A 13,813-nucleotide genomic window follows, 5' to 3' on the forward strand; every position below is an offset into this window, starting at 1 on the left:
CAAAAGCCCAGAGCAGAGAGCATGGTGCTCCCTTTTCAACAGAACCTATGAGTGCCTCCCAGGCCTCCCACGGGGAGGGCAGCTGCAATCACTGGGTACGTTCATAAAGCAGCGTATAAACGGCAAAATGCCAAAGCACACAGAGAGGGCGCCGGGTCAGGCTGCATCCCCCAAATATTAAGAATTGTTAATCCGCCAAAATAACAACAAAGGAGCCACTTTTGTTTTCTATAGTGGACTAATATGAAAAAAATATATCTTGCACCCTGAAATATTCTCATAATTATGTTGTCAGCTAATCCTGATGAAGATGCTATAATTTGGATGCATTTTTAGGTCCAATTACTGTGCACTCATCCTTATCAAAAGAATTCAAAGGGAAAATGACATATTCAGCACAAAGAAAATCACGAAAGTTTGGGGTTTGAGCATTCAATTCCTAGTAACTGTTTGCCAGGCTTTAGCCAGCTACTCTGTAGTATTAAAATGGAAAATCCTAAAATAACTGTACTAATAAGTCCTCATTTCTGATCTCTGATTTGTAAACATTCCCAGCCAAGAACAGCCAGGTCCTGTCTGCAACCTCTGACCTCCCTGCCTGCTCTGGGACCTTGGGACAAGCAAGGTGTTTTGACCCAACTCCTTCCAGAAGGCAGCTATGAACTGGAATATGAATTCATAGGCCCTGAGGGGGAGACTGAGTCCCTTGCACTTAGGGAGGGTTCCAGGATGCAGCAGAAGGTGGCCACTTCTCTGGCCATGGGCTGCAGACATGATCAGATGGAGTTGGCCTACTCTGAGGGACCCCTCCCCAACTTTCAGGCCCTCAAGGGAAGGGGTGATGAGGGTCAGTTGGGCCTTGAGCTGGAGTCACAGATGCTCACAGCCAGCTCACATCCAGCCAGCTCACAGAATGCTCTGTTACCCCGCACATGAGGCAGAGTGTCCTCCTCCTGCTGCTGCTGTCCTCTGTACGCCCACCTGGTGGGAGTCTCAAGGGCAGGATGAGTGGAACAAGACAGGGTTCAGGCTTTATGGGGTCCCCCAGCCCTTACACTGGCTTTTAATATTTCCATTATTGTTTATTACAAAACGTACATAGAAGTACATGCTCATGGTAACAGTAAACAAAACAGCAGTCTATAGAATACAGACAGCCCCCGAGCATTCCCTCTGAGAGTCAGCATCACTGAGCACAGTGTGGTGTCTGTATCCTTCCAGACCTTTTGCTGTGCATCACAGAGAGAGAGAGATGGACAGGAGAAGGGGGATGAATATCACCTTCACAGCAGCAAAACCTTGTAAAAACCCTTCCCCACTGGGGTCTCCAGAGCCCTGTGCCCCTCCATACCCCTCTGCCTCCCCTGAGGTCCTGCAGGCTGGGCTTGACACAGAAGGACGGCAGAGGAGGGAGCTGGTATTGTTGACATGGAGGGTCTCAGAGGCCTCAAGTAAAAACTCAAAATACACTACCTAACAGGTGACAGAGCACCCCTTCCCATTCCCAGCTGGGCTAGTGTCAGAGAAGGCCTAGTACAGAGCCAAGACTTTCACCAGCATCCAGCAGTAATGAAGCTATCACTGTCCACTGAAGTGTCACTGGAGGCCCCATGGAGGGTAGTACTAAGGCACCCTTGCCCCTCCTAGCTAGGACTGGTATCAGCAGCAGAGGCCCAGTTGGGAGCCTGAACTCCCACCCCCATCCACCAGTAATGAGGTGCACTTTTCTCCAGGCATCAAAGAGACTGAGTGGGGAACCTAAACTTCTACCCCCCATTGGCAGTAACAAGGCAGTACCCCCTTGTCCACACCACAACAGTGTCAGATGGAGCCTGCTAAAACCGAAGATTTAAATGAGATCCAGACTCTCATAACATAATACTGAAAATGCCCAAGATTCAATTAAAAATCATTCCTCGTGATTTTCCAAGAACCAGGAAAATATCAACTGTAATGAGAAAAGACAATTAACAGACACCAATACTAGGTGGCACAGATGTCAGAATTAGATGGCAAGGGCTTAAAGTAACCATCACAAAAATGACTTCATGATTAAGGATAAGCCTGTCTACAACAAGCGAAAAAACATTGTGTCTCAGCAAAGAAATCAGAGATATAAGAGAAAACCCAAATAAAAATTTTACAACAGAAAAATACAGCAAGAACAAAACCTTCAAAGGATGGGCTCAAAGCAGAATGAAAAGGAGAGAAAAATAACATGAAAAAGAGATTGAAAAAGAAAAGAACAGTGCCCCCAAGGACCTGTGGGACTGTAACAAAAGATTAACATTTGTGATATGAGTCCCAAAAAAAGAAAAAGAGAGTAGAAGTGGGAAAGTATTCAAAGAAATTATAGCTGAAAACTTTCAAAATTTGACAAAAGATATAAATCCACTAATTCAAGAAGCTGAGCAAACCCGACAGGATAAACCCAAAGAAATCCACGCCAAGTGCGGCCATAAAAAAGAGTGAGTTCATGTCCTTTGAAGGGACATGGATGAAGGTGGAAACCATCATTCTCAGCAAACTAACACAGGAACAGAAAACCAAATACCACGTTCTCACTCATAAGTGGGAGTTGAACAATGAGAACTCATGGACATAGGGAGGGGAACATCACACACTGGGGCCTGTCAGGGGCTGGGAGGAAAGGGAAAGGAGAGCATTAGGACAAAAAGGTAATGCACGCAGGGTTTAAAACATAGATGACAGGTGGCTGGGTGCAGTGGCTCACACCTGTAATCCCAGCACTTTGGGAGGCCGAGATGGGCGGATCAGAGGTCAGGAGATCCAGACCACCCTGGCTAACACAGTGAAACTCTGTCTCTACTAAAAATGCAGAAAAATTAGCCGGGCGTGGTGGCAGGCACCTGTAGTCCCAGCTACTTGGGAGGCTGAGGCAGGAGAATGGCATGAACCCGGGAGGTGGAGGTTGCAGTGAGCTGGGATCGCACCACTGCACTCCAGCCTGGGCGACAGAGTGAGACTAAGTCTCAAAAAAAAAAAAAAAAAAAACATAGATGACAGGTTGATAGGTGCAGCAAACCACCAGGGCACATATGTAACAAACCTTCATGTTCTACACATGTATCCAAGAACTTAAAAGTAAAATAAAAAAAAAAAGAGGGGGGCAGCTCCAAGATAGCTGAATAGGAACAGCTCCAGTCTACAGCTCCCAGCATGAGCGACACAGAAGACGACTGATTTATGGATTTCCAACTGAGGTACCGGGTTCATGTCACTGGGGCTCGTCGGATAGTGGAGACAGGACAGTAGGTGCAGCCCACTGAGTGTGAGCCGAAGCAGGGCGAGGCATCACCTCACCCGGGAAGTAAGGGGTCAGGGAATTCACTTTCCTAGCCAAGGGAAGGGGTGACAGACAGCACCTGGAAAATCGGGTCACTCCCACCCTAATACTGCACTTTTCCAACAGTCTTAGCAAACAGCACACCAGGAGATTATATCCCGCGCATGGCTCCGTGGGTCCCATGCCCACAGAGCCTCACTCATTGCTAGCACGGCAGTCTGAGATCGAACTGCAAGGCGGCACTGAGGCTGGGGAAGGGGTGCCCGCCATTGCTGAGGCTTGAGTAGGTAAACATAGCAGCCAGGAAACTCGAACTGGGTGGAGCCCACCACAGCTCAAGGAGGCCTGCCTGCCTCTGCAGACTCCACCTCTGGGGGCAGGACATAGCCGAACAAAAGCAGCAGAAACCTCTGCAGACTTAAAAATGTCCCTGTCTGACAGCTTTGAAGACAGTAGTGGTTCTCTCAGCATGGAGTTTGAGATCTGAGAACGGACAGACCCTCAAGTGGGTCCCTGACCCCTGAGTAGCCTAACTGGGAGGCACCCCCAAGTAGGGGCAGACTGACACCTCACATAGCTGGGTACTCCTCTGAGACAAAACTTCCAGAGGAATGATCAGGCAGCAACATTTGCCATTCACCAATATCCGCTGTTCTGCAGCTTCCGCTGCTAATACCCAGGCAAACAGGGTCTGGAGTGGACCTCCAGCAAACTCCAACAGACCTGCAGCTGAGGGTCCTGACTGCTAGAAGGAAAACTAACAAACAGAAAGGACATCCACACCAAAACCCCATCTGTACGTCACCATCATCAAAGACCAAAGGTAGATAAAACCACAAAGATGGGGAAAAAACAGAGCAGAAAAGCTGAAAATTCTAAAAATCAGAGCACTTCTCCCCCTTCAAAGGAACACAGCTCCTCACTAGCAAGGGAACAAAGCTGGACGGAGAATGACTTTGACGAGTTGAGAGAAGGAGGCTTCAGACGATTGAACTTCTCCAAGCTAAAGGAGGAAGTTCAAACCCATCACAAAGAAGCTAAAAACCTTGAAAAAAGATTAGACGAATGCCTAACTAGAATAATGAGTGTAGAGAAGTCCTTAAATACCTGATGGAGGTGAAAACCATGGCAGGAGAACTACATGACAAATGCACAAGTTTCAGTAGCCGATTCGATCAACTGGAAGAAAGAGTATCAGTGATTGAAGATCAAATGAATGAAATGAAGTGAGAAGAGAAATTTAGAGAAAAAAGAGGAAAAAGAAATGAACAAAGCCTCCAAGAAATATGGGACTATGTGAAAAGACCAAATCTACGTCTGATCGCTGTACCTGAAAGTGACGGGGAGAATGGAACCAAGGTGGAAAACACTCTGCAGGATATTATCCAGGAGAACTTCCCCAGCCTAACAAGGTAGGCCAACATTCAAATTCAGGAAATACAGAGAATGCCACAAAGATACTCCTCAAGAAGAGCAGCTCCAAGACAAACAATTGTCAGATTCACCAAAGTTGAAATGAAGGAAAAAATGTTAAGGGCACCCAGACAGAAAAGTCGGGTTACCCACAAAGGGAAGCCCATCTGACTAACAACGGATCTCTCGGCGGAAACTCCACAAGCCAGAAGAGAGTGGAAGCCAATATTCAACATTCTTGAAGAAAAGAAATTTCAACCCAGAATTTCAAATCCTGCCAAACTAAGCTTCATAAGTGAAGGAGAAATAAAATCCTTTACAGACAAGCAAATGCTGAGAGATTTTGTCACCACTAGGCCTGCCCTACAAGACCTCCTGAAGGAAGCACTAAACATAGAAAGGAACAACCGGTACCAGCCACTGCAAAAACATGACAAATTGTAAAGACCATCGCTGCTAGGAAGAAACTGCATCAACTAACGAGCAAAATAACCAGCTAACATCATTATGACAGGATCAAATTCACACATAACAATATTAACCTTAAATATAAATGGGCTAAATGCTCCAATTAAAAGACACAAACTGGCAAACTGGATAAAGAGTCAAGACCCATCAGTGTGCTGTATTCAGGAGACCCATCTCACGTGCAGAGACACACATAGGCTCAAAATAAAGGGATGGAGAAAGATCTACCAAGCAAATGGACAACAAAAAAGGCAGAGGTTGCAATCCTAGTCTCTGATAAAACAGACTTTAAACCAACAAAGATCAAAAGAGACAAAGAAGGCCAGTACATAATGGTAAAGGGACCAATTCAACAAGAAGAGCTAACTATCCTAAATATATATGCACCCAATACAGGAGTACCCAGATTCATAAAGCAAGTCCTTAGAGATCTACAAAGAGACTTAGACTCCCACACAATAATAATGGGAGACTGTAACACCCCACTGTCAACATTAGACAGATCAACGAGACAGAAAGTTAACAAGGATATCCGGGAATTGAACTCAGCTCTGCACCAAGTGGACCTAGTAGACATCTACAGAACTCTCCACCCCAAATCAACAGAATATACATTCTTCTCAGCACCACATCACACTTAATCCAAAATTGACCACATAGTTGGAAGTAAAGCACTCCTCAGCAAATGTAAAAGAACAGAAATTATAACAAACTGTCTCTCAGACCACAGTGCAATCAAACTAGAACTCAGGATTAAGAAACTCAATCAAAATCGCTCAACTACATGGAAACTGAACAACCTGCTCCTGAATGACTACTGAGTACATAACTAAATGAAAGCAGAAATAAAGATGTTCTTTGAAACCAATGAGAACAAAGACACAACATACCAGAATCTCTGGGACACATTTAAAGCAGTGTGTACAGGGAAATTTATAGCACTAAATGCCCACAAGAGAAAGCAGGGAAGAACTAAAATTGACACCCTAACGTCACAATTAAAAGAACTAAAGAAGCAAGAGCAAACACATTCAAAAGCCAGCAGAAGGCAAGAAATAACTAAGATCAGAGAAGAACTGAAGGAGATAGAAACACAAAAAAACCTTCAAAAACTCAATGAATCCAGGAGCTGGTTTTTTGAAAAGATCAACAAAATTGATAGACTACTAGCCACACTAATAAAGAAGAAAACAGAGAAGAATCAAATAGACACAATAAAAAATGATAAAGGGGATATCACCACCGATCCCACAGAAATACAAACTACCATCAGAGAATACTATAAACACCTCTATGTAAATAAACTAGAAAATCTAGAAGAAATGGATAAATTCCTGGACACATACACCCTCCCAAGAGTAAACCAGGAAGAAGTTCAATCTCTGAATAGACCAATAACAGGCTCTGAAATTGAGGCAATAATTAATAGCATACCAACCAAAAAAAGTCCAGGACCAGATGGATTCACAGCCAGATTCTACCAGAGGTACAAGGAGGAGCTGGTACCATTCATTCTGAAACTGTTCCAATCAATAGAAAAAGAGGGAATCCTCCCTAACTCATTTTATGAGGCCAGCATCGTCCTGATACCAAAGCCTGGCAGAGACACAACAAAAAAAGAGAATTTTAGACCAATATCCCTGATGAACATCGATGCAAAAATCCTCAATAAAATACTGGCAAACCGAATCCGGCAGCACATCAAAAAGCTTATCCACCATGATCAAGTGGGCTTCATCCCTGGGATGCAAGGCTGGTTCAACATACACAAATCAATAAATGTAATCCAGCATATAAACAGAAACAAAGACAAAAACCACATGATTATCTCAATAGATGCAGAAAAGGCCTTCAACAAAATTCAACAGCCCTTCATGTTAAAAACTCTCAATAAATTAGGTATTGATGGGACGTATCTCAAAATAATAAGAGCTATTTATGACTAACCCACAGCCAATATCATACTGAATGGGCAAAAACTGGAAGCATTCCCTTTAAAAACTGGCACAAGACAGGGATGCCCTCTCTCACCACTGCTATTCAACCCAGTGTTGGAAGTTCTGGCCAGGGCAATCAGGCAGGACAAAGAAATAAAGTGTATTCAATTAGGAAAAGAGGAAGTCAAATTGTCCCTGTTTGCAGATGACATGATTGTATATTTAGAAAACCCCATTGTCTCAGCCCAAAATCTCCTTAAGCTGATAAGCAACTTCAGCAAAGTCTCAGGATACAAAATCAATGTGCAAAGATCACAAGCATTCTTATACACCAATAACGGACAAACAGAGAGCCAAATCATGAGTGAACTCCCATTCACAATTGCTTCAAAGAGAATAAAATACCTAGGAATACAACTTACAAGGGATGTGAAGGACCTCTTCAAGGAGAACTACAAACCACTGCTCAAGGAAATAAAAGAGGATACAAACAAATGGAAGAACATTCCATGTTCATGGATAGGAAGAATCAATATTGTGAAAATGGCCATACTGCCCAAGGTAATTTATAGATTCAATGCCATCCCCATCAAGCTACCAATGACTTTCTTCACAGAATTGGAAAAAACTACTTTAAAGTTCATATGGAACCAAAAAAGAGCCCACATTGCCAAGACAATCCTAAGCCAAAAGAACAAAGCTGGAGGCATAAAGCTGGAGGTGGAACTGAACAATGAGAACACTTGGACACAGGAAAGGGAACATCACACACCGGGGCCTGTTGTAGGGTGGGGGCAGGGTGGAAGGATAGCATTAGGAGATATACCTAATGTAAATGACAAGTTAATGGGTGCAGCATACCAACATGGCACATGTATACATATGTAACAAACCTGCACGTTGTGCACATGTACCCTAGAACTTAAAGTATAATAATAAAAAAAAAGAAATCCATGCCAAGACACATCATAATCAAATCTCTGAAAACTAAAGACAAAGAAAAAATGTAAAAGTAATGAAAAAAAGTCTGTAGAGGAAAATTATGTGAATGACAGCAGATTTATCATCATATACAATGGAACTCAGACGGAAATGGCACAACATTTTTCAAATGTTGAAAGAAAAGAACTGTCCACCTAAAATTCCATGTCCAGTGAAAATATCCTTCAGGAATGGAGGGGAAATCAAGATATTTTCAAAGGAAGAAAAACTGGCATAATTTGTCACCAGTAGATATAACCTAATAGAATGGATAAAGGAAGTTCCCTAAACAGGAAGAAAATATAAAAACAATAAATCTTAGAACATCAAAAAGAAAGAAGAAGGGAAAGTATAAAAATATGGGTAAATACACCAGATTTTCCTCTTAAGTCTTCTAAATTACGTTTGACGGTTGAAACAAAAAGCCTATCTCTGTGGGAAGTGGTTCTCAATGTATGTAGAAGAAATACAACAATTATACCATGAATGAGGGAGGGAGTCCTCTCAAACTTCTGCTCTGAGATGTTGATAACCTTCATAACTTGACTCTCAACCCTTGTACTGAATTCCCTTCCCTTCTACCACAGGTTCACCCCAACAATAGTCACTCCAACAATAGCATACAAGAGCAATGATCCTCAAGTAAATCAGAGATGACTTGCTTTACAAGAGTAGAGGAGTAAAAACACTGCTATCTGTGCAGAAAGAAAGAATGGCAAAATTGAGATACCCATTACTCAGCACAGTTCCTAGGCTTGAAAGAGAACTAACAAACACTCAACTTAAAGGACTTCAGAATGAATGAAGAAGTAAACCATTCCAATGTTGCTGCAGTTTCTGCATATTTAACAGATAGGATCCTTCTGAGAATGCTAGAATTGGGGATTATGACACCAAGTCACTTCAGCCATAAACCTTATTCTTGTACTTTTCTTTCTTGCTGGTAATTTTACATAGCAGGATATATAGCTAGAATAAACTATATACGAATAATTTTGATAATGAATTCTATGATGTGTTCTGTCTGCTTGTATCTTTTCCTTCCTACCATGATACCAGTTATTTATAAGTGATCTGTGTAGTTTGAATGTATTTGAATAACCTCAGTATATTTTAGCTCTACTTACTGATTTGATCTAAAAAAGCACCAAAAGGACATAAGTATTCCCATGTATTTTAGAAGCCTAAAGTCAGTGACAGGAAACCCAACATCAAGAATTTGAAGCAGGCCAGGCACAGTGGCTCACGCCTATAATCCCAGCACTTTGAGAGGCCGAGGTGGGCAGATCACCTGAGGTCAAGAGTTCGAGACCAGCCTGGCCTAATGGTGAAATCCCGTCTCTACTAAAAATAGAAAAAACTGAGGTAGCTGGCAAGATGGCCGAATAGGAACAGCTTTGGTCTGCAGCTCCCAGTGAGAGCGAAGCAGAAGGTGGGTAATTCCTGCATTTCCAGCTGAGGTAGCCAGTTCATCATATTCAGTCTGGTTGGACAGTGGGTGTACCCCAGAGGGCAAGCCAAAGCAAGGTGGGGCATTGCCTCACCTGGGAAGCACAAGGGGTCGGGAGATTTTCCCTTTCCTAGCCAAGGGAAGCCGTGAGAGGCTGTACCGGGAGGAATGGTGCATTCCAGCCCAGGTACTGCGCTTTTCCTATGGTCTTCACAATCGGTAGACCAGGAGATTTTCTCTGGTGCCTGGCTCGGCAGGTCCCACCCCTAGAGCCTAGCAAGCTAAGATCCACTGGCTCGAAATTCTCACTGCTAGCACAGCAGTCTGAGGCCAACCTGGGATGCTGGAGCTTGGTGGGGGAAGGGGCATCCATCATTGCTGAGGCCTGAGTAGGCGGTTTTACCCTCACAGTGTAACAAAAGCTGCCAGGAAGTTCGAACTGCATGGAGCCCACCACAGCTCCCTGGGACGGAGCACCTGTGGGAAGGGGCAGCTGTGGGTGGAGCCTCAGCAGTCTTAAACATCCCTGCCTGACAGCTCTGAAGAGAGCAGCGGTTCTCCCAGAATGGCGTTTGAACTCTGATAAGGGACAGACTGCCTCCTCAAATGGGTCCCTGACCTCCCCACCCCGTGTATCCAGACTGGGAGACACCTCCCAGTAGGGGCCAACAGACACCTCATACAGGAGAGCTCTGGCTGGCATCTGGCAGGTGCCCCTCTGGGACGAAGCTTCCAGAGGCAGGAACAGGCAGCAATCTTTGTTGTTCTGCAGCCTCCACTGGTGATACCCAGGCAAACAGGGTATGGAGCGGACCTCCAGCAAACTCCAGCAGACCTGCAGCAGAGGGGCCTGACTGTTAGAAGGAAAACTGACAAACAGAATGGAATAGTATCAGCATCACCAACATCAAAGACCAAAGGTAGGTAAATCAACGAAGATGTGGAGAAACCAGCGCAAAAAGGCTGAAAATTCCAAAAACCAGAAAGCCTCTTCTCCTCCAAAGGATCACAACTCCTCGCCAGCGAGGGGACAAAGCTGGACGGAGAATGAGTTTGACAAATTGACAGAAGTAGGCTTCAGAAGGTGGGTAATAAATTCCTCCAAGCTAAAGGAGCATGTTCTAACCCAATGCAAGGAAGCTAAAAACCTGGAAAAAAGGTTAGACACATTCCTAACTAGAACAACCAGCTTAGAGAAGAAAATAAATGACCTGATGGAGCTGAAAAACACAGCACGAAAATTTCATGAAGCATATACAAGTATCAATAGCCAAATCGATCAAGTAGAAGAAAGGATATCAGAAATTGAAGATCAACTCAATGAAATAAAGTGAGAAGACAAGATTAGAGAAAAAAGGGTGAAAAGAAGCAAACAAAGCCTCCAAGAAATATGGGACTACGTGAAAAGATCAAATCTACGTTTGATTGGTATACCTGAAAGTGATAGAGAGAATGGAACCAAGTTGGAAAACACTCTGCAGGATATTATCCAGGAGAACTTCCCCAACCTAGCAAGGCCGGCCAACATTCAAATTCAAGAAATGCAGAGAACACCCTAAGAATATTCCTCGAGAAGAGCAACCCCAAGACACATAATCATCAAATTCACCAAGGTTGAAATGAAGGCAACAGCCAGAGAGAAAGGTCGGGTTAGCCACAAAGGGAAGCCCATCTGACTAACAGCGGATCTCTCGGCAGAAACCCTACAAGCCAGAAGAGAGTAGGAGCCAATATTCAACATTCTTGAAGAAAAGAAATTTCAACCCAGAATTTCATATCCGGCCAAACTAAGCTTCATAAGTGAAGGAGAAATAAAATCCTTTACAGACAAGCAAACACTGAGAGATTTTTGTCACCACCAGGCCTGCCCTACAAGACCTCCTGAAGGAAGCACTAAACATAGAAAGGAACAACCAGCACCAGCCACTGCAAAAACATACCAAGTTGTAAAGACCATCAATGCTATGAAGAAACTGCATCAACTAATGGGCAAAATAACCAGCCAGCATCATAATGACAGGATCAAATTCACACATAACAATATCAACCTTAAATATAAATGGTCTAAATGCCCCAATTAAAAGATACAGACTGGCAAATTAGATAAAGAGTGTGCTGTATTCAGGAGACCCATTTCATGTGCAAACACACAAAGGCACAAAATAAAGGGATGGAGGAAGATCTACCAAGCAAATGGAAAGCAAAAAAAAAAAAAAAAAAAAAAATCCCAGGGGTTGCAATCCTAGTCTCTGATAAAACAGACTTTAAACCAACAAAGATCAAAAGATACAAAGAAGTGCATTACATAATGGTAAAGGGATCCATGCAACAAGAAGAGCTAACTATCCTAAATATATACGCACCCGATACAGGTGCACCCAGATTCATAAAACAACTTCTTAAAGACCTACAAAGAGACTTAGACTCCCACACAGTAATAGTGGGAAACTTTAACACCTCACTGTCAATATTAGACAGATCAATGAGATGGAAAATTAACAAGGATATCCAGGACTTGAACTCAGCTCTGGGCCAAGCTGACCTAATAGATATCTACAGAACTCTCCACCCCAAATCAACAGAATAAACATTCTTCTCAGCACCACATTACACTTATTCTAAAATTGACCACATAATTGGAAGTAAAACACTCCTCAGCAAATGCAAAAGAACGGAAATCATAACAAACAGTCTCTCAGACCACAGTGCAATCAAATTAGAACTCAGGATTAAGAAACTCACTCAAAACCGCTCAATTACATGGGAACTGAACAACCTGCTCCTGAATGACTACTGGGTACATCACAAAATGAAGGCAGAAATAAAGATGTTCTTTGAAACCAATGAGAACAAAGACACAACATACCAGAATCTCTGGGACACATTTAAAGCAGTGTGTAGAGGGAAATTTATAGCACTAAATGACCACAAGAAAAAGTAGGAGAGATCTAAAATTGACACCCTAACATCACAATTAAAAGAACTAGAGAAGAGCAAACAAATTCGAAAGCTAGCAGAAGACAAGAAATAACTAAGATCAGAGCAGAACTAAAGGAGATAGAGATACGAAAAACCCTTCAAAAAAATCAATGAATCCAGTAGCTGGTTTTTTGAAAAGATCAACAAAATAGATAGACTTCTAGCCAGACTAATAAAGAAGAAAAGAGAGAAGAAACAAATAGACGCAATAAAAAATGATAAAGGGGCCATCACTACCAATCCCACAGAAATACAAACTACCATCAGAGAATACTATAAACACCTCTATGCAAATAAACTAGAAAATCTAGAAGAAATGGACTAATTCCTGGACACATACATCTCCCAAGACTAAATCAGGAAGAAGTTGAATCCCTGAATACACCAATAACAAGTTCTGAAATTGAGGCAGTAATGAATAGCCTACCAACCAAAAAAAGTCCAGGACCAGATGGATTTACAGCCAAATTCTACCAGAGGTATGAAAAGGAGCTGGTACCATTCCTTCTGAAACTATTCCAAACAACAGAAAAAGAGGGAATCCTCCCTAACTCATTTTATGAGGCCAGCATCATCCTGATACCAAAACCTAGCAGAGACAAAATAAAAAATAAAAAAATAAAAATTTAGGCCAATATCCTGATGAACATCAATACGAAAATTCTCAATAAAATACTGGCAAACCGAATCCAGCAGCACATCAAAAAGCTTGTCCACCACGATTAAGTTGGCCTCATCCCTGGGATGCAAGGCTAGTTCAACATACGTAAATAAATAAACATCATCTATCACGTAAACAGAACCAATGACAAAAACCACGATTATCTCAATAGACGCTGAAAAGGCCTTCGACAAAATTCAACAGCCCTTCATGCTAAAAACTCTCAATAAACTAGGTATTGATGGAACGTATCTCAAAATAATAACAGCTATTTATGACAAACCCACAGCCAATATCGTATTGAATGGGCAAAAACTGGAAGCATTCCCTTTGAAAACTGGCACAAGACAAGGATGCCCTCTCTCACCACTCCTATTCAACACAGTACTGGAAGCTCTGGCCAGGGCAATCAGGCAAGAGAAAGAAATAAAGGGTATTCGATTAGGAAAAGAGGAAGTCAAATTGTCTCTGTTTGCAGAAGACATGATTGTATATTTATAACCCCATTGTCTCAGCCCAAAATCTCCTTAAGCTGATAAGCAACTTCAGCAAAGTCTCAGGATATAAAATCAACGTGCAAAAATCACAAGCATTCCTATACACCAGTAACAAACAGA

The 13,813-nt window shown here is 42.6% G+C and overlaps 1 protein-coding gene across 11 annotated transcripts in view; it reads right to left on the reverse strand.

The window, feature by feature from the left end:
- The window catches only part of ZFAT (zinc finger and AT-hook domain containing), a 354,552-nt gene that overhangs the window by 186,710 nt on the left and 154,029 nt on the right, over positions 1 to 13,813 (reverse strand). For 2 of the 11 annotated variants that reach the window (NM_001289394.2, NM_001029939.4), the window contains exon 2: positions 10,233 to 10,391. The exons of the other annotated variants lie outside the window; for them this stretch is intronic. The gene's annotated coding sequence lies outside the window, so the exon portion shown is untranslated. The remainder of the gene's footprint in view (positions 1 to 10,232; positions 10,392 to 13,813) is intronic. 11 annotated transcript variants of the gene reach the window in all.

Source organism: Homo sapiens, chromosome 8 (genome assembly GCF_000001405.40).
Source record: "Homo sapiens chromosome 8, GRCh38.p14 Primary Assembly".
Taxonomy (NCBI): Eukaryota; Metazoa; Chordata; class Mammalia; order Primates; family Hominidae; genus Homo; species Homo sapiens.